This window comes from Homo sapiens, chromosome 3 (genome assembly GCF_000001405.40).
Source record: "Homo sapiens chromosome 3, GRCh38.p14 Primary Assembly".
Lineage (NCBI taxonomy): Eukaryota > Metazoa > Chordata > Mammalia > Primates > Hominidae > Homo > Homo sapiens.
The window spans coordinates 28,291,884-28,313,665 of NC_000003.12; the positions used below are offsets into that span (position 1 = coordinate 28,291,884).

The 21,782-nt window shown below is 35.0% G+C and overlaps 1 protein-coding gene across 7 annotated transcripts in view; it reads left to right on the forward strand.

Annotated features, from left to right (window-relative positions):
* CMC1 (C-X9-C motif containing 1) overlaps window positions 1-21,782 on the forward strand; it is an 83,524-nt gene that overhangs the window by 50,265 nt on the left and 11,477 nt on the right. The window contains exon 3 of one of the 7 annotated variants that reach the window (NM_001331186.2): window positions 2,551-2,646. The exons of the other annotated variants lie outside the window; for them this stretch is intronic. Within the exon in view, the coding sequence (NP_001318115.1) occupies window positions 2,551-2,646 (96 nt within the window). The remainder of the gene's footprint in view (window positions 1-2,550; window positions 2,647-21,782) is intronic. 7 annotated transcript variants of the gene reach the window in all.

Genomic DNA, 21,782 nt, shown 5'->3' on the forward strand with positions numbered 1-21,782 from the left:
TATTAAGTGTGGATCCCTGAAAAATGGCATACCCTGGTGGTTTTTCTAGCCCCTGCTGAAATCCTTTGAAGGTGGGTAAAGGTTTTTTTATACTAAGTGTTTTTGTTTTGTTTTGTTTTGTTTTTGTTTTTGCTTTATTTTTCTGTGGGCTATTTGTGCCCTCAGTCTACTTCTCTCAAAAACAAAGAGTGTTTTTAGCGGGAATTTGCAAGGTATTTTAATTCATTTTCTTTCCCCAGTGCATTCTAGGAGCTAGGATCCATGGCATGTTGAGCCTTGCCAAAATCTTTCCTTTTTTCCTACTTTTTGAAATTTATAGTATAATACTATCACCCTTTTATGGCATAGGGGCAGCTAGCCAATTTTTGTCTTTTTAAAACTCTGTTTATCTTATAGAATATTGAGGAAGAGTTTAAGAGCTTACAATATCTTGCAGTTTTACCCAAAACTGTCTTCAATATCTTTTCAATTATTTTATTAGCATGAAGACTAGTTTTTTCTATCTAGAAAATTTCTTTTTCTCCTTCTTCCCTGATTTTACCCTTATCCTAAACGTTGTTGCTAGGTAAAGCTTTTTCAATTGATCATTTTAGTTCATGTCATTCCCCACTGCTTATGATCAAGCCTAAGCTCTTATATTTAAGGTCACCTGGGTTTTTACTTCAGCTTACTTTAGTGATGATAGTCTCATTCCCTTTCTTGAATTTTCTTTTCTGGATAAATTTAAATATTTTCTATTTTCCCATAGATGCCTTAGGTAGATTTCTAAGATGTGGTTAGTATATAATAGGATGTTTGTATACATTATGGTTTTTAAAAAGACCCCTTAATCTCTTTATTGCCTTTCTGTAGGAATGTACTTATTTGTCAAGATTCGTCTAAAAATGTGGTCTCCAGAAATGAACATAGATGTGCTGTGAGCTCCTTGCAGTTGTGATTGCGACACTGATAATTAAGATTGGTTTAGTTGTTCTGTTGTACTTCATCAAATTGTTGATTCACATTGAATTTATCAAACGTCATTCTATTCTAAAATGTGAAAGTATTTTTAACTTAAATGTAGGAATTCGCATGTATCCAGGTAAATTTTACCTTTAAACATTTTTTTGCTCTGGTTGTCCATACTATTGAGAGTATTTTGAATCTCCAATCAGTTCTCTCTTGTATCTATATATGCTAAACATACCTTTAATGATTTCCTATACATCTCTAAATAGTAATTTTGTGGGAACGTTAAGTGCAGTAGTTCTATTACTTTGCATCCTTTTAATTTCATATAGTTCTGTTTTCTTCCCCGTGTCTGCCTGGGTGACATGAGAGATTAAAGACTGTGGTTGTTCTGTGTATGGGCTCAAGCTGGATGGAGGAGTTGATATTAGAGAAAAGAGAAGCTTTCCATTTGATTAAGCTACAAATAGAGGGACTTTTTTTTTTTTTTCGAGTGGCTGGGGAGGTGACAGAATGGGAAGCATCAAAGGGAACTTTGGCAGAACTTGGTAATTGAAGAGAAAACCACTGAAGAGAAGCATGATGATGCCAGGAGTTTGATTTCAAATGATTTGTAAGAAACAGTGAACCAGGACACATTAAGTTTGAGGTAGATGGTTGTAAGATATCAAGAAGATACTCATCTTTAACGAAAATTTGCTTTTGAGGCTTATGTTCTAGATTTTAAAACAAAACACACAGTCTTTTAAAAATATTCTTTCTTTTTTTGAGATGGAGTCTTGCTCTGTCACCTATCCTGGGGTGCAGTAGTGTGCTCTCGGCTCACTGCAGCCTCTGCCTCCTGGATTCAAGTGGTTTTTCTGCCTCAGCCTCCTAAGTAGCTGGGATTACAGATATCCACCACCATGCCTGGCGAATTTTTGTATTTTTAGTAGAGACCGAGTTTCACCATGTTGGCCAGGCTGGTCTCAGACTCCTGAGCTCAAGCGATCCGACTGCCTCAGCCTCCCAAAATGTTGGGATTACAGGCATGAGACACCATGCCTGGCTAAAAGTATTCTTTTTTTTAACTTGAAAACCTGTGTAGTTCTGTAAAATCTTTGTTAACTGTCTTCCTAAGACCTTTTATATTTTACATATAGCATTAAATTTGAACTATATGGATTTCAAATAAAAGAAGAGAATAATTGCTATTTTCGAAGAACTCATTTTAATTGGTTAGAGTAAATATGAAGGCAGTGATTTTTGTAAAATGGCCTTTAACATATTAATGTCTGGTTATGTAGAAAGTGCTGTAACAGGATCATCTGTTCTACTATAACTTCATGTATGCCTATTAATGATACATAACTGTGGAGCAATAATGTAAGTGAGCTCTGTCAAAAAAATTACATAAATGAATTGCAGTCAGGAGAACCTTACTCAGTGGTTATGTATACAAAATTTACCCCCCCTTGATATGAAAAAATTTTTTATAATTGCTTTATTTTCTTACGGAATAGGCTTCTAAAGTTGCGAATTGTATTATTGTTAAGTAGCAAAATTTGGGGGTAGTATTTCCTTTTTGTCATGTGAAATAAATTTTTCTCTTTTACAATACAGGACAAGTAAATTTTTGTGAAACATTGCAGATGTTAGATGGATTTGGGAGAATTTTCCAAACTAAGTGGACGAACTTATATAGCTACATAAATAGTAGTGAGTACCAGAAGTTTATTAATTTGCTTATATTACATAAAAATAAAATGCTTTAGTCATGAGTTAAAAAGCTAATGGAAACTCATGTAGGCAAGTTAAAGTCAACATAAAGTAATAATACCAGAAATCCTAAATTTGCTGTATTTCAGTCATTTTTATGAATTAAAAAAATCTTTTTAACTTGTGGTTCTTTATTTTTTCCATTTTCGCTTTAGGAAATTTGTTTGTGTTCATTGAGTTGGGTAAAATAGAAGACTTAGGTTCTTAGTGCATTTTGATATGACTCCTTCTAGATTTGTCATTCTAAAACATCAGACAGGATTCGGGTTGCCTATTACTCAGAACTAGTTATATTAGAACTCAGGCTTTGGGTATTAACTGAACCCTTCTTTCTTTGTTACCCATAGAGAAGTTACAGAGATGCTTAGTTTACAGTGCTGATCATTATTGTTATTTTTTTTAAAACAAAACAAAACAATCTGTAGACAGGAAGGAGCAAAGAATGCAGTGTTCACGCTGTGCTACCCCAGAAATACCTTTAGTGAATAATGTTTTTCTAACAGACTCATTTTAACGTGAGCTCGTTTTTACTCTTAAGTGTGTAAGCCATTTTTAATGTATGTCTTTTGTCTCCTTAGCCTTTACTTTCATTTTAGTGACATTGTGAAATTAAGCCCTGTCTGATTCCCACAAGAGTAACTTAGGTACTTTTACATTAGCGTTAGTAGCTATGCCTTCTCTTTAGACTAGGCTACCTTACCCATGTTGTGTTTAGGAATTCGTATGAAAATTTATTCTTATCTACAGTTATTTTTTTCTTCATGCCCATTTTCCTTGAAAATATTTAAAAAATATGTCTTGTATAGAATTAGAAACTTCAGTATCGGTATCACATCACTGGCTATAAAAACTATGTTACTGATTTATTTACTTCCTTTAAGTTTTTCCCCAAAAATCTCCTTAGAGGGGCCTACCTGGATGACCCTACTGAAAATGTAACCTACTAGGTCCTTCCTCCTATAACTTCCTACACCCCTTAACTTCTCTCTCTTTTTCTGTAACTCTTACCACATTGTAACATACTGCTCAATACTCCTTTTAGAATAAGAGATCCTGGTTTGTTTTACTCATATATCCCTAGAACCTAAAACAGGCTTGGTACATAGAAATGTTCAGTAAATATTTAACAAAAGAATGAATTAAGAATATACAGTTTCCCTCGGTATCCACAGGGGATTAGTTACAGGATGCCCGTCCTTCTCCAGGAAGCCAAAACCTAAATCCCATGAATACTGTATTTTTTATCTGTGTTTGGCTGTGGATATGGAACCCACAGATAAGGAATGGTATTTATTGGGGGGGAAAAACCCATGTATAAGTGGACCTGTGCAACTCAAACCCATGTTGTTCAAGGGTCAACTGTATCATCTGGGTTATATTTCTCCTATTATATAGAATAAGAATTTTCATGCCCTAAACCAGTTACTTTCAGTTTCTTTTCACCTGGTCCATAGTAAGAAATACAGTTTAAAATACAACCCTGAGTACACATACATATGAACAGATTGTTAGAAATCTGAATTACTCTCTTCCCCCAGCTGTTGTAAGACTAAACAGGCCAGGAATTATGCATATATTCAGTAAACTAGAATGTGACAGATACTTCCTATGAAAAAATGTAATGCTGAGACTCCTTAAATGGTTTGTTGATCACCATTGTAACCATGTAATATTTTATACTAAAACCAGATGACTTAGGAAATAACTTCCTGTTTGACATTAAAAAAATATGATTCTTTAGTTTTAAAGTTTATACATTTTTGAGGAAGCTCTTTTTAGCTTAATGTCAGCAAAGCAGCTGCTGCTTGAATTTACTTTCTAAAACACTGAATTATTCATTTCCATAAATAAAACTTCCTTAGTAATTATTTAGCATTAATTTATTTCTCTTTATTTCAGTCAACCCTGTTGACATTCTGTTTTAAAATTAAAAATATTCTTTGTGGAATTTAACAAATAAGACTGTGACAGCCACTTTCTTTACTTTCTTTTGTTTTCATAACAGGATTTCCAGATCCTGAGATGAGCTGTGTCTTATTATTTTTATTATTTTAATAAATGTTAAACTAATAAAATGTAGAACACAAGTAAATTCTTATTTAAAAATGTCTTCTAAGTAGCTTCTAAGATGAACTGCTATGATTATGACTTATTTAACATATATTGAATTCTAACAATGTAAACTTATTAGAAATACTTTAAATAATTATTTCATTGTATTCACCAATTGTTTAATAGAGTAATAGGGAAAAAAAGTAAGGTTTGTTGTTTTACATTTCTTGGCACTCTTCCATCTATTTTTGCAAATATGGGAATACCTCCTTGAATTTTGTGCTGCCTTTCTAGTAGCCTGTGGTGAGCCCTTCCACCTTCAAACTCTTATTAGTTATTTATGTGGCCTCTTTGGGCTATCAGTCTTTACTGCTGTGTGATATTTCTTGCCATCTTTCCAGAATTGCTGTTTTATTTATTTGTTTCTTTGTTTAATTTTAAATGTGTCACTGCCTTGCTGCTCCATTGGAGACTTCCTGAGGGCAACAGACAAACTATTTGATAGCTGAATACATATTTGGTAAGTTAAGAGAGGAGGGGAGAAAACCCCTTTATAAAGTAGCATCCATTCAAATGAAACATTCTTACCTAAAGTGCTTCTTGGAGCATATATTTAGAGAGGTTTAGTAACTGATCCATAAGACAATCAGTGTGGGCTTAAAGAAAATGTAAACTTTTAGGTAAGGGCCCATCTGAATCCCTGTTGAAATGTACTATAGCCACCATTACTGTGGCAGCCTCATAGGACCATGGAAGAGAATGAGGCCTATGGAATTAGAGATGGGAAAAGTCTCCATTTAATTCCTCTGTCCTAGGTTCTACAATGCTATTTAGAATATAATTATGGAGACCTCTGCTTTAATAGTTGTTGAGTGGGTGACAGCAGTTTTAATTGGAATAACCACAAGTGTATAATTATTTTAGAGCTGAAATGTTTAAGAAAGCTTTTCCAGCAGATGACACAGACCATCAGCCTTCAGCTGGGAGCCATTACGCAGACATGTTTTGTTTTTCCTCTGCAGTGTTTTAGAAAACAAAGTTGGCTATTTACAATTGTGAGATTTTACATAAAACAAAAATTCCAGCTTAGAAAAAAGGTAAATCCTCAGATCTGATGATTCTGTATTTCCAGTCCTACAAGACGAACAATGATCTGGAATAAAGTAACAGCTGTACCTTTAAACATGGACATGTGTTGTAGTGGTTCATTACAGTTTTTGTGCTTGCACTGTTCATGTATTTGTATACACACACATTATGTATTTATATGTATATAATATATATAAAGATAGATACATTTATATGCAAAAACATATTTCTCTGAAACTGTGCTCCAGTCATAAGAAAACCAAACTGAGATGTTGGTCTGGTTCAAGAAAAACAGGATGGAGCCTTTTGTGAAGGTAAAGAATATTCTTTTGTGTTTAACATGCAAATGGCTCAGCTTCCAAGTTGCATAGGTAGCCCAGCCTGAGTCTACAGGACTCTACCTGTAGAGTAGAGTCCTACTCTACAAGTCTTGGAGAGTATCAGATCTGTCAAGTTTTGATTTTTATGCCCTTAATTATAATCTGTAGGTAACTCATATGGCTCATTGGATATGAATTTTGGAAATCTATGCTTCCAGATTACTTTGCTTAATTCTTGCGTCCTCATACTTTTTCTGTGAAGGGATATATACCTAAGACACTAGGAAAAGCACATCCGAGGTAAGTAACACTGATGAATATTTAGTACATGGTTAATAACCTAGTTTGTGAGGTTTAGAAATAGTAAATTATATTTTATATATAATATTCTATATAAAATATATTTTTATATATAAAGTATACATATTACATATATAAAATATAGTATGCAATGTTAGTACATACTAAGTATTCTCTAAATTATTTTTATTTCTAATAAAGTGTACATTTATCTGTGGTTCTGCTCTCTTAAATTTATTTTTTAAAATTTGAACATTTTCATCTGAATTTTTGAGTTTGCTAACAAGCCAAAAATCATTTCTATTTGATTAATCCAACAAATAATTTACTCTTCTTTATCTTAAATTTGAAGAGAATTAAGAAATAAAAGAGGAGGAACATCTATTTCATGTTCTGTTTAGTAGTAACAGTTGCAAATATGTAAGCATTTTATTCTTGGATTCACTAATTTCCCTGCTCAACAAAGATGGGTCAGTATGTTCTGTTTTTTTTCTGGGAAAGTCTGTAGAAATAATTTGGTTGTTTTTAAGCACCTGCATGCTTTTTGGAGGCAGTGGTGGTGGAAAGAGTATGATGTAAAAGGAGCTGTTTCTTTACCTACCTTACAAATATCTGTGCCTGAAACAAGCCTCTTCTCTGAGCATAATCAGTCTCTAATAAAACTGTATTCCTAACTACTTGAGCTGATAAATAGTGAGGTTGTTTTAAACAAGTCAAGTTTATTTTATGTCAATTTTCTATTTGCCCTGTGTAAGATATATTTAATTACTTTACTCCATCTCTGTGTTCAAATTAATCAGATTCTGCCACATATTGGTGCTCAAAATAGAATAATTCTTTAATCAACTGTGTTATCCATGCTATGGTAGAGTAGAATAGAAAATCTACTCGTGGCATATTGAAGATGCATGCATTTTATTTTCTATTGTAATTTAAAAGTAAAATCAGAAATACTGATTTCTACTTGACTGGAGAGATGATTTAGTTTGAATATCAGCCTGATCTTAATCAGGTGAGAATTAATTGAGTTGGAGGTATTAGATATTCAGTGATGTTAACTGAACCATGATCCATCTAGAGAGAAGCTTTCTTTTGTACTGTGTTAGAATTATCAAATAGCTCATGCACTACAATGTAAAATAATCTTTTCATGTTCATCCTTCTACCTTCTTGTCTCATTAAATGCACCACTAAATTCATTCTATACACAGACTAATCTTTAAAGTAGCAAGCTAATAAATCACAAGTTAATAGAAAATTAAAAGCATAATAATTTTGTCATAAGATGCTGCTGTCACAATTTTATAATGATATATTTTCTAGTTACTAATTTTAAAACCAAGTGATTAAACCTCTGCTTTTCAAGTATACCTGGGACATTAAAAAAAACTCTTAGTTTACTTTTTTTTATGTTCAACATTGCAAGAAGAAAGTGAGCAATTCAGAAGTATTTTAATGTTTATCTTCAGAAATAAAAATAGAGTCTGTAACATTATAGTGGTCTGAAATGTGGCATGGGCTTTTCATTTATTTTAAGAGTGTGACAGCAATATCATAAGTGTTGTGAAAATATAAATGGTGAGATAACACCTCCATGGGACTTGCTCTTAAGTAGTAAAATTGTAAATTCTTTAAATAAACTGCAGCTAGAACTGAAAGCATCGATTTGCCTTGTTAACTATGGATACTATACTTATTAAGTGTCTAATTAAATTTAGTATAACATGTCTGTTATTTCCTCCTTTTTTTCCCTTAAAACTGAAAATTTGGACTTATTTATTAGCAAAGTATCACGTTATCATTGTCAGATTTCTTCGATTTTGGCAGTTGGTGTGACAGTGTTAAATTAAAAGAAAGCCAGTAGTGTGACTTTTGATAGTGTCGTTTTACACTGGAATACTGTTTTTTGCTTGGTATTGCTATAATGGGAATATTCGAATCTATGTAGCTGTATATTTTGTGAAAAGGAATATCCAAATTTATATTCGAGAACAATTAGCATTTAATAAAATTAAGCCATAATTGCAGAAACATTCCTAGAGTGCGATGAACAGGGAATTCTCACGAGATACAGTAGGGTTCCCCACCTAGTTGTTACTAAACAGCAATTTAGGGCAGAATGGCCTGCTTAGGAAAAAATGAGAGAGAGGGAGCTGGCTTTTTCACTCTGCTCTTCAAAGCCGAGGCTTCTCTTATATAGACCCCACTCTCCCCTCTCCAGCACCCAAAATGATTTCTATCTCTCTTCCTTCCTTCCTTCCTCCCTCCCTCCCTCCCTCCATCCCTTTCCCTCCCTCCATCCCTTTCCCTCCCTTTCCCTCCCTTTCCCTCCCTTTCCCTCCCTTTCCCTCCCTCTCACCCTCCCTCCTTCCTCCCTCTCTCCCTGCCTTCCTTCCTTCCTTCCTTTTTTTTTCATAATATTCTGTAAGATGTAGAGAGTACCAAACCACAATACAAATGTGTTTTTTTCAATTCTTGTCCCTGCCAGTTTTCCTCCTATGAAATAACCACAGTTATCAGTTTTCTTACATATTCTTTCATAGCCATTATGTACTTGCAGACATACCCCCCCGACGTGTACACATGCACACCCCCCAAACACAGAAATGATAACGTTCTGTACCTTGCTGTTTTCACTTTTAAGTCTTAGGGGTCATTCCCTATCAGTGTGCTATTTTTTTTAGTGGCTACATAGTATTTCGTGATACAGTGTTAACATTTAAGCAGTTGATGTTACTGTGATAGATTTGATGACATCACCAAAAGCCACATTCATATAAAAATACTTTTTGCTTCAGGTGAGAGAAGACAAGATGAGGAATGGCTAATAATATGTTATTCTTTTCATGATTCCTTACAGATGGGAACCTATTTATTTACTATTTTGGAGACAAGGCCATGCTCTGTTACCTAGGCTGGAGTGCAGTGGCATGATCACAGCTCACTGCAGCCTTGACCTTCTGGGCTCAAGCGATCCTCCCACCTCAGCCTCCCAAGTAAACAGTACTACATGCGTGTGCCACCATACCCAACTAATTTTTAAAATTATTTGTAGGGGCGGGGCCTCACTATATTCCTGAGGCTGGCCTTGAATTCCTGGATTCAAGCGATCCTCCTGCCTCAGCCTCCCAAAGTGTTGGGATTACAGGCGTGAGCCACTGCACTCGGCTTACTGATTTATTTTTGTTAAGAAAGACATATATGTAGTCTATATCTGAATTGCATGAAAAATTCTACTGCGATCGAATTTGGAGAATTTACTGTCCTTATGGATGCTGTTTTTTTTTTTTAAAAAAATAGGAGATGCTAATGTTTTTTAAGCCAGTTGTTAAATAAATAAATTTGACAAATGAGCGTACTATAAAGTGGGTGACAAGGATTTGTTAATAGTCTGGAAATCACATACCTTGAGGAGGCAGCAATGTTTAAACTGGCGCTGAGCCAGGAGAAGAGAAAAAAATATGAATGTTATTTCCTATAGTGTATGATGAAACGGCAGCATTAGACTACCTTTTTTCAGCCTATAGTACTCCCATCCCCCATCAACACACACCAACCCCCATCAACACACACACACTATGGAACTGGCTACCTTGCGAGTTAAGGAATTTTCTGTCACCACAAATGTTTAAACAGTAAGATGGAGTAGGAAACACTTTGTGAAATAGATTAAGTGACCTCTAAAGGCCTTCACACTCTAACCTTTTTGATTCCAGAAGTCTAGAACAAGACAGCTGGTCCTGTCCAGGGCCCTCGATAAGTAGTATTTAATGGTCACTGTTGGCTCATACTTATTGCCAGAATGGGCTGTAGACCACTTGCAAGTATGAAAAAGTCCAACAGGTTCGTTTATTACTTGTGTCACTAAAAACACGGATCCTACTTTCGTTTCTCCATTGTGTAAGTGATGAGAGAAGGCAAAGCATCTACTAGTGGCAAGAAATCCTAGAAGGCTCCATGTTCAAAAGTTTGCCTGTTTTGTTTTGTTTTGTTTTTTGTCAGTTGCTTTTATCAATACCTATCAATGAATTGGCCTTTTAACATTGGAGACTATGTGGGACAGCAAAGAGGGAATATGTAAGAAAAGTGTGTTTGGGGAGACTTAGGGAATCTTCTATGTGATCTTTTAAAAAAGATAGAGGGATTTGGTGCTTTCATTGTCCACACCAGGCTGTGTGAATGTCTCTCTTTCAAATTCTGGTAGCACTTAATATCTGAAACATGAAATTTAGCACTTCATTATATTTTGTTTGAAGAAGCCCCTTTCTAATGTGTAAAATCCTTATTTTAAATATTTAAATATATTTTATAGGAATACTGGAAAACAGTATGGAATCGGAGAGTTGAGGTATCTGATGCTATTTGATTTTATATGGTTGCTAAGTGGTCATTTAGCAAAAAACCAGCAACAGTGTCTACCTTATTCTTTCCTGTGGTAGTGATACAATGTGATGAACCATTGCCACTTGCTTCCCAGGTCTCATTTGTGACCTCATGTGTGAGATACCTGGCCTGGGTTAAGTCTCTATTGCGTGGGCATGGAAATTTCTGCCAAGCGTAGGAGTTTTTCATGTGTTCTGGAAAGGAATAAGTGAGATCCAATAGTAATTACAGATAACGTTTCTGAAGTTAAAAGACCTGGTTCTAAACCAATCTATGTATGCCACACTAATCTTGGAAATATGATGTAGCCTATTTAAAGTTCATTTTATTCATCTGGCAAATGAAGATAAAAATAGTGCTTACTTGATCGTGTTTTTGTACAATTCAAGTGAGCTAACACGCATAAAGTACCTAGTATAGTAGTGCCTGGTACAGAGTAAACACTCAGTTTATCTTAGTTGCCATTTTCATGTTTTTATTGCTATTACTACTGACATTATTAACTACCTTGCAAAAAATGATTAGGAAGTTGTCATGGGAAAATGGAAAAACAAGAAAAAGGCCACCTGAAATAAGACAGTTTCTATTCAACATTATTAATGTATTCTTGAATTTTGGTTTTCCATCATGTATGTTCCTAGTGTTTTAACTGCTTCTTGTAAGAATCACATTTTAATCTCAAACTTATATTCTAATCAACTGAGATAATGAATCTCAGTATCCTCCTGAAACTTTTTAATTTTGCTATGAAACCCCGAAGTTTTGTTACTGTTTTTTTGAATTTTGTTTATGAATAAATGCTGAGTACAGCCTTTACTAAACTGAAGAGATAGTCATGATAAAGTACAATGTTGGAAATTTTGATCTTTGTCAAAGAAGTTAGATAACAGTAATGGCAGAGATTATTTAGCAACATATTTTAAAATATTAGAGTGAGTTAAATCAACTAAAAGCTGGTAGAAAATGAGAATTATTAACACTCCTTCAATTAATTCACTTATTCAGCTATTTGTTCGATAAATATATATGAATATTTACAGTTATTCATTTATATACAAATGCACAAATATTTATTGAACAAATATAAGCTAAGCAAGTAAGCTTTGCTGAATGATTATTTTTTACCTTAGTCTTTATTTTCTTAAATATTTTATTTTGATTAGGTATTTTAATAGGCTTAAAAAGGATCAGTGGATAAGAAAATATGTTCCAAGGAAAGATATGGAAGATAACTAAGCCTAGAATGATCATAAGTTATAAATCATAAAACAGTAGCCAAATCATCATCAGCCACCTGTTTGCATCTCACCTGAAGTATAAGGAACTAAAAATGTCTTTAGCTATGTTGTCCAACATGGTCACCATTAGACATACATGGCTATTTTAATTAAAATGAAAAATTTAGTTATGCAGTCGCATTAGCCACATTCAGCTTGGGCAACATAGTGAGACCCTGTCTCTTAAAAAAATACATCTTATTTAACCTAATATATCAAAAATAATATCTTTTTAACATGCAGCCAATATAAAAATTTTTAATGAGATATTTTATATTCCTTTTGTCACTGGATTTTTTTTTTCATTTTCTGCCTATGTTAGGTAGAATAATAGTCCCCAAAGATGTCTCAGTCATAATCCCTGAAACCTGTGAATATGGATATAAGGAACTAACTGTCCTAGAGAATTGAAAATAAAAGCTATGTTTAATGCATCACACATAAGAAGTAAGGATTTTTATCTGTTCTAATCCCCTCACTGGAATTATGTGAATCTAAGGTATTTCTGGACAGTATCGCTTAAAATTTTAACATAAAAACTGTTGGGTGATTTTCACTCATCTTAGTAGACGTCTCAACAGCATTTGACAATAATGATTATTCCTTCCTTGACCCAAACTTTCCCAGAAAAGATAGTCATCTGATGGATACATTTTGTTAGTTTTTATATTTTAAAGTTGTATTCAAATAATTTATAGAAGAATGAAGACAATGACTTTAGAAAGTATAATAAGAATTTAAACATAGCAAGCCCCAATTTTTATTCCCTATTTTACTTGTTCTGAAAGTTTTATAACTTGGAATGGTTTATGTCCTTTGATTGCCACTAACTGCTTATCATGAACCTGGAACATAATCTATTTTAAAGATTCTGACTCCATATAGCTCTAATAGGTTCTAGTTTACCATTAATCTTTAAAATGTATTTTCTTTTTACTTTAGATTTGAGGGGTACATGTGCAGGTTTGTTACATGAGTATATTGTATAATGCAGTGGTTTGGGCGTCTATTGAACCGTCACCCAAACAGTGATCATAGTAACCAATAGGTAGTTTTTCAGCCGTTGTCCTTCCTCCTTCCCTCCCATTTTGGACTCCCCAGTATCTATAATTTATATCTTTTTGTCCCTGCATACCCATTGTTTAGCTCCTACTTGTAAGTGACAACATGCGGTATTTGTCTATTTCTCTGTTAATCCACTTAGGATAATGGCCTCCAGCTAAATCTATGTTGCTGCAAAGGATGTGTTTTCGTTTTTATGGCTGTGTAGTATTCTATGATATATATGTACCACATTTTCTTTCTCCATTCCACTGTTGATGGACACTTAGGTTGATTCCATAACTTTGCTGTTGTGAGTAGTGCCGCAATAAACATACAAGGGCAAGTGTCTTTTTGGTAGAATTATTTCTTTTCCTTTGGGCAGCTATCCAGTAGTGGGATTATCCAGTTCTGTTTTTAGTTCTTTTAGAAATCTCCAAACTGCTTTCCACAGGGATTGAACTAATTTACATTCTGTTTATAAGCATTCCCTTTCTCCACATCCTCAACAACATCTCTTAGTCCTTTGTTGGATGCATAGTTTGCAAGTATTTTCTCCTTTTCTCTAGGTTGTCTGTTTACCCTGTTGATGGTTTCTTTTGCAGGGCAGAAGCTCTTTAGTTTAATTAGGTCCCAATTGTCAATCTTCTTTTTGTTTCATTTGCTTTTGAGATCTTAGTCATAAATTTTTTGCCTAGGCCAGTGTCCAGAAGAGTTTTTCATAGGAATTTTTTTTTTTTTTTTTTTTTTTTTTTTTTTAGTTTGAGGTCTTACGTTTAAGTCTTTCAGCGATCTTGAGTTAATTTTTGTATATGGTGAGAGGTAGAGATGGAGTTTCATTCTTTTGCACATGGCTAGCCAGTTTCCCCAGCACCATTTATTGAATAAAGTATCCTCTCCCCAGTGTTTATTTTTATTTACTTTGTTGAAAATCAGTTGGTTGTAGGTATGCAGCTTTATTTCCAGGTTCTCTGTTCTGTTCCATTGTTCTGTGTGCCTATTTTTGTACTGGTCCCATGCTATTTTGGTTATGATAGCCTTGTAGTATATTTTAAAGTTGGGTAATGTGATGCTTCCAGCTTTGTTCTTTTTGTTTAGGATTACTTTGGCTATTTGGGCTCTTTTTTGGTTGCATATAAATTTTAGGATAGTTTTTTCCAATTCTGTGAAAAATGACATTGGTAATTTGATAGGAATAGCATTGAATCTATAGATTGCTTTGTGCATTATGGGCATTTTAATGACATTGACACTTTCAATCCATGAGCATGGGTTGTTTTTTCATTTGTTTCATCTGTGATTTCTTTCAGCAGTATTTTGGAGTTCTCGTAGAGCTCTTTCACCTCCTTGGCCAGATGTCTACCTAGGTATTTGTGTGTGTGTGTGGCTATTGTAAATGGGATTGAGTTATTAATGTGGTTCTCAGCTTGAACGTTACTGGTGTATAGAAATGATGATTTTTGCATGTTGATTTTGTGTCCTGAAACTTTACTGATGTCATTTATCAATGCAGTAGTCTTTTAGAGGAATCTTTAGCATTTTCTAAATATATAATAATTGTTGGTGAACTACTTACATCTTTAAAATGAAGAATTTTTTTTTTTTTTTTTGAGACAGAGTCTTGCTCTTGTCACCCAGGCTGGAGTGCAGTGGCATGATCTCAGCTCACTGCAACCTCAGCCTCCTGGGTTCAAGCAATTCTCCTGCCTCAGCCTCCTGAGTAGCTGGAATTACAGGCACCTGTCACCACACATGGCTAATTTTTGTACTTTTAGTAGAGACAGGGTTTTGTCATGTGTTGGCCAGGCTGGTCTCCAATCCTGACCTCAGGTGATCCGCCCACCTCGGCCTCCCAGAGTGCTGGGATTACAGGTGTGAGCCACCATGCCCAGCCAAAATGAAATATTTTTAAAAACACCAATGACTCATAATTTTGTTGAAGTTAAGATGGCCATCTTTTTGGCTCCATAGTTTTAAAACATTTTCACTTTTAGATTTACAAATACTATTTCCTTTTAATCACCTTTTAAATATATCTGTCTTTAGCATTTGGATCAAGTACATTTCAACACACAGATATCATAAAAGATGAAAGAGTACTGCGTTGCCCTGTTTTTAGCACAATGGGATACAAGTTTTTGTTACATTATACTTCATGAAAAATCACTCCTGTTAAATGTCTAATGGGATGAGAATACTATATTTCCTTTTTGTCCTTAAAAATGTATTATTCAGGCCAAGTCAAGAGAATTGTTTGAGGCTAGGAGTTCAAGACCAGCCTGTGCAATATAGCAAGACCTTGTCTCTAGGAAAAATAAATAAAAAAAATTAGCTAGGTGTGGTGCTGCACACCTGTAGTCCTAGCTACTCGGGAGGCTGAGGTGGGAGGATCACTTGAGCCCAGAGTTCAAGGCTACAGAGAGCTATGATCTAACCAGCGCCCAGCCTGGGTGACAAGAAAAAAAGTATTATTCACGCATCAGTTCCTGATTTTGAGAAAATTCATCTGGGATACTGTCACCTGAAGACTTATAGTCAATATGATTATGTGCTTATATGATCAATTTCATCATCTTCGTTAAAGTCTAGAGTGCTGCTCTTGGTTTCTTTGCATTCTTCTAATTCATCTAATAATTGCAAAACATCTTTTAGCCAGTTTTTCCCCCCACTGTGGTAGTATATTAGTTTTCTATTGCTATTGTAACAAATTATACAAACTTAGTAGCTTTATTAAGACAATACAAATTCATTGTATCATAGTTCCGTAGTTCTCAAGTGTGACAGGTCTCACTGGGCTAAAATCAAGGTGTTAGCAGAGCTGTGTTTGTTTCTGGAGCCTCTAGGGGAAAGTCTGTTTCCTTGCCTTTTTCAGCAAAGATGCAAGTATTCTCTTTTTTCCATCTTTAAAGCCAGCAAGATAGAATCTCTCTGACTCTGCTTCCATCATCTCATCTCTTTTCTCCTGTTCTCTTCCGCATCTGTCTTTCACTTTTAAAGACCCTTGTGATTACTTTGGGCCTTCCCAGATAACCTCCCTATTTTCAACTGATTAGCAAAGTTAATTCTGTCTGCATCCTTAATTCCCATTTCCTGTGTATCTTAACATATTCATGGGTTTCAGAGATTGTGACTGGGACATCTTTGGGGACTATTATGCTACCTAACATAGGCAGAAAATGAAAAGAAAAATTCAAACCTTAACTGTATTCAGTGAAAGCTTTAAAAAAAAAAGAAAAGAAAAAGCTACTTTTATATCTTCATGAACGGTAATACAATACATTGAGCAATATAGTAAATGTGATGTAATAATGGAAGCTTTATTTCACTATTGCATCCTTCTAGGGGATTTCATCATTTTCTTTTCTTATCGTAGTTATTTTTAGCATAGTTGGAAATAACTGACAGGCCATGATGCAATAATTTCTGCTATGATGAAATAAAATGTTTGAAGATACAGGAAAAATAAGATCAATAAGTTATATATTGAATCTTAGCTTTACACGAAGATCAAATGATCCTAGTTGATAAAATGAATTTTATTGTATTAAAAATATGTCCATTTTCTTTAGATTTTTGGAGGCCTCTAAGAAAGAATAAAGTCTTAAATTATTCTTGAAATAGTTATGGAATTACTTATAAATGAAATCTACAGGCTGAGCATGGTGGCTTACGCCTGTAATCCCAGCACTTTGGGAGGCCGAGGTGGGCGGATCACAAGGTCAGGTGATCGAGACCATCCTGGCCAACATGGTGAAACCCCATCTCTACTAAAATACAAAAAATTAGCCCTGTGTGGTGGCGCATGCCTGTAGTCCCAGCTACTCGGGAGGCTGAGGCAGGAGAATCGCTTGAACCTGGGAGGCGGAGGTTGCAGTGAGCCAAGATCATGCCACTGCACTCCAGCCCGGCGACGGAGCGAGACTCCGTCTCAAAAAAAAATAAATAAATAAATAAATAAGCCTGCAAAACTAAAATTGGGTCTAGTGGACCCTGATTTTATACTGAGGGTCAAATGCTTGGTTTCCTTGCTTTCTCTGGTGCCACATAGTCCTCTGTATTTTTCCAGTTTCTTCTTTTTCTCCTAGCGTTAAGTGTTAGGATTCCTCAGTGGTTGTCCAGGGCCTCTTTTCATTATTTTTGTTAAGTTACTACTATCAAAACAGTATCTTCAGAACCTGCTTCCAACTCATAGGTAACTGCCTTCTACTTGGATGTTTCACAGGCCCCTTAACTGAACATGTCCTAAATTCATTGTCATCTTTATTCCATCTTCCTCCACCAAAACAGAACAAATTCATATGCTATTCCTTTTTGGTGAGTGTGTGTTATGTAAAACAGTGCTTTTGTTTGTTTTTCTGGTGTTTTTTAAGTCATCAACCTGGGCCATCATGCACCCAGCAAGAAAATTAGGGGTTATCCTTGACTCGTCCTTCTATTACACTCATAAATAACTATATTCCAAGTCCTGTTAGTTCTCTCTGGTTTCATTTTTATTCACTCACTTCTGTCCTTTCCTGCTTTGTCTGCCACAGGTTTAAATGTTTTTAGCCCCTTGGACTATTGTACTAACTTTCTATCCAGTTTTCTTATTTCCAGTTCTGTTTCCTCTGCCTACTCTAAGGTTCTGTGCAGAAGAAAACATGATCTTGTCATTCCACTGTGCAAACCCTTTTGAGGATTTCGATAGCCCTTAGAACACAGCCTAAACATTTTAACATTGCCTACTGGTCGTATTTGGTACATGCCTTTTCTCCTGCAGCTGATATTTACCACACACACACACACACACACACACACACACACACACACAAGCTAATTGCAAATATACATTTTAACATTGCCTGCTGGTCATACTTGGTACATGCCTTTTCTCCTCCACCTGACGTCCACCACACACACACACACACACACACACACACACACACACACACACACACACGCTAATAGCAAATGTACAAACCATTCTGAATTATTCTCTGTAATATGTCCTGCCTGTTCATCTCCAGACCTTCTGTGCCCTTCCCTTTGTCCAGAATACTGTTCCCTCTCTTCATTTGCTAACACAACACAGTGTACATCATAGCTTAAGAGTATTTCACATTGGAATTCCCTCCTGAGTGTGTCTGAGGTTCCCGTTCTGTGCTTCCATAGCACCCTCCCTGCCCAGAGCAGGTATCAACTCAACTGTTAGCATTTGAAGATTACTTGTCTTCCTCAGGGACTATTGTTAGCTCCCACAGAGTAGGAACCCTCTCTTTCTTACTCTACATGGTAACCCCAGAAGCTAGCACAGTGTTTACACAGTAAGTACTTTGAAAATGTTTGTTGAATGAATGAGTGATATTTTATGAGCCCCTGAATAAATGAGAAAATACTTAAATATTGTAATTTATTGAATCAGCTAAAACGTGAATCATTAATTAACTCATTGGACAGTGTCTATTATAAACACAATAAATATTAGCTATTGTTGCTATCATGAAGACAGGAATGTAGATAATTTTTTCTTTTTCGTTCTACTTTGGTAATTAAAGAAAAACTAATGCAGTATTTACAAATGAATCTTTTCTTTAAAATTAAGGTAATGATTTGGTGATTTCCCATCTGCAGTGTATAGATTTGCCTTTGAAAATGGAAATGTTTTTAAAGATGTAGTGCAGTGAAGAAGCCACTGTTTCAATATATGTCTTGTGAGATAGCAATCCCCAACCTTTTTGGCACCAGGGATCAATTTTGTGGAAGACACTTTTCCAGTGGTTTTGGGATGAAACTATTCCACCTCAGATCATCAGCCATTAGTTAAGAGTCTCATAAGGAGTGTGCAGCCTAGATCCCTCGCATGCACAATTCTTCACAAGAGGGTTTGTGCTCCTATGAGAATCTAATGCTGCTGCTGATCTGACAGGAGGTGGAGCTCAGGCAGTAATGCTCCCTCGCCAGACGCTCACCTCCTGCTGTCCCGCCCGGTTCCTAACAGGCCATGGAGTAGTACCAGTCTGCAGTCCGGGATTTGGGGGACCCCTGTTGTAAAAGATGTTTATCATTTCTGGACATTATATTTTTCCATTTGAACTAATGGTTTTATGGATCTTTAGAAAATTGTCTGTGGTACTCTTTTTTTTTTTCTGTAGGGATGGGTGGCTAGAATGTTTGCTGGAAAAGATTTACTGGTGCACTTTTTTCAGCTTACTTGAATTTATCCTAATTTACTTCTCATCCAGTCTGGAATTAAGTTATATTTGGCTTTGTCTATAGGTTGGATTAGATTCTTTCCAAAAGCCAAACTACTTAGGTCATTGATGCAGAGGTCGCAGGGAGACCTACAATTGTGTTACTAAATTTTATAGACGAATGTATATAAAGTCTGAACCTCATGAAATACTGTTCATGCTGTTGGTTATACAGAATAATGTGCTGTGTGTCCCTGTGGCCTTGATTTTCTTCAGCTGAGCAGTCATTAGAAAGAAGAGGACAAAAATACTATCTTCATTGTCTCTGCTTTGGTTCAGACCTTCCTCCCTGCATTGAAAACTGAGGGTGACCTCCTGTTGTCTTCAGGCACTTTTTACTTCACAGCTTCCAGAAGGGATGATGATTACTGAGAGTGGCGCAGCACTTAGGCGTCGTCTATAGGGACCTGACATTAGACTGTTCACTACAGAAGTCCTCACATAAAAGATAGCTTTTCTTGAGAAAATTTATTTGTAGATTTTAATTTATGTTACAGATTTAAAACTGCAGACACCTTTGTCTGAAGGGAAATCTTACTAAAAGTCAGCACTTAGACCCTCTTTCAAATTGTATCATTTTTAGTCCTATATTTGTAAAACCTCTTATAATTCAATAACTGTTCAAAAGATCTTTTCTACATTATGTTTAAAGTACCTCTCTGCTTTTATTCTTACCTAGTTTTATGGAAGCAAAGTTTTGTGATTCAGATTCCTATTTGTAGAGTTGATATGATGTATTATGAATTTAGGGTGATTTTTAAGTCTGCCCTACTATGTTCTTTAATAAACAAGATGTCCTAATTTTTTCCACCTATTAAGATGATGGTGCAGTTATGGAAATATTGCCTATAGCTTATATGTTAAAATTCTAAACTGTATTGGTATCCAAATATGCCTTTGCTTTTTGTAATGCTAGGAGAAAATAGGCATTTTTTGATGACTTTACTAGCTGAGGACATTAAAGTACTGAAAAGTTAGGAATAAGTGCTGTGTCTAAAGACAGTTGTGAAAAAATTCATTTTAAAAATCAAATTAATGGAGATATGAACAGAGTGGTTCTAATCAGAGAAATGAAATAATGGGGATTATTTCTTTTAATTTGATGTGTTTTAAAATTGTCATCTCAGTGAATGCTTTAGTTCTAACTGGATAACTGCATTTGCAAAGTAATGATGTTGCTTGAAACTGACTATGTGCAGAGAAAGTGTAAAAGATGAACTATCTGCTATTTCTAGTTCAATGCACAGTTGTCATATTTATCCTTTGCTCAATTAAGGAACCATATTATTGGGGATTATTTAAGTATTAAAGTATATCTGGAAGTTCCATAAATTAAATAAGTTAAAAAATAAATCACTTCTGTTAGTTTTATATGGAAGCTCCCAAGTTTTTTTCATATCATAGTTAAACTGTACTATGATATGACTACTTGTACTTAATTATATAGACTACTTGTACTTAATTACAATGTGAATAATTATTTTGTCCATTATGTTAAAGTTAGGAGAAGACTTTATCTCTTTATGTTTTTTCCTAGATAATCTTGAGCCAAATTTAATTATATCCAAAGAATTTTTTTTAAATTTTTTTTTTGAGACGGAGTCTCACTCTGTTGCCCAGGCTGGAGTGCAGTGGCATGATCTCAGCTCACTGCAGCTTTCTCCTCCCGGGTTCAAGTGATTCTCCTGCCTTGGCTTCTCAAGTAGCTGGGATTACAGGCGCCTGCCACCATGCCCAGCTGATTTTTATATTTTTAGTAGAGATGGGATTTCACCATGTTGGCCAGTCTGGACTCAAACTCCTGGCCTCAAGTGATCCACCCACCTTAGCCCCCAAAGTGCTGGGATTACAGGCGTGAGCCACCGTGCCTGGCTTCAAAGAATATTTTTACCAATAGTATATGATATTACGTGGTTTCTTTGAGATAAATTAAGAGTTTACAAAAGAAAGACACAGACTTTTATGTTCTTGATATCTTAAAGAAAAAAATATACTGAGTGCTCATTACTTTAAACCTTTGAATAACTTTTAACAATCTCTCCGCATTCCTACTGTTTATTGATATTCTTTTGTATTATCTTAAGATAGACTGAATTGAATGAAATTTGAATTTTATAGTTTTTAATAGTAATTAAAATTATTGATAGAATCAGATATACAAGCTCTTTAACATTTAATGTAAATTAAAAGATGGAACTGATTTAAATTGGATTTGTTTCAGAATTCCATTTTGGAAATCAGTTGGCAGTATTAGCAACATCACTATTATATGAATATATGCTAATGTAGAATGAAAGAAAGGTCCTCATTAAAATCTTGTTGCTAAACAAGTGACAAAAACCTTGCAGACAGCTTAAGGCTTCAGGTCAGTCATATTTACTCCT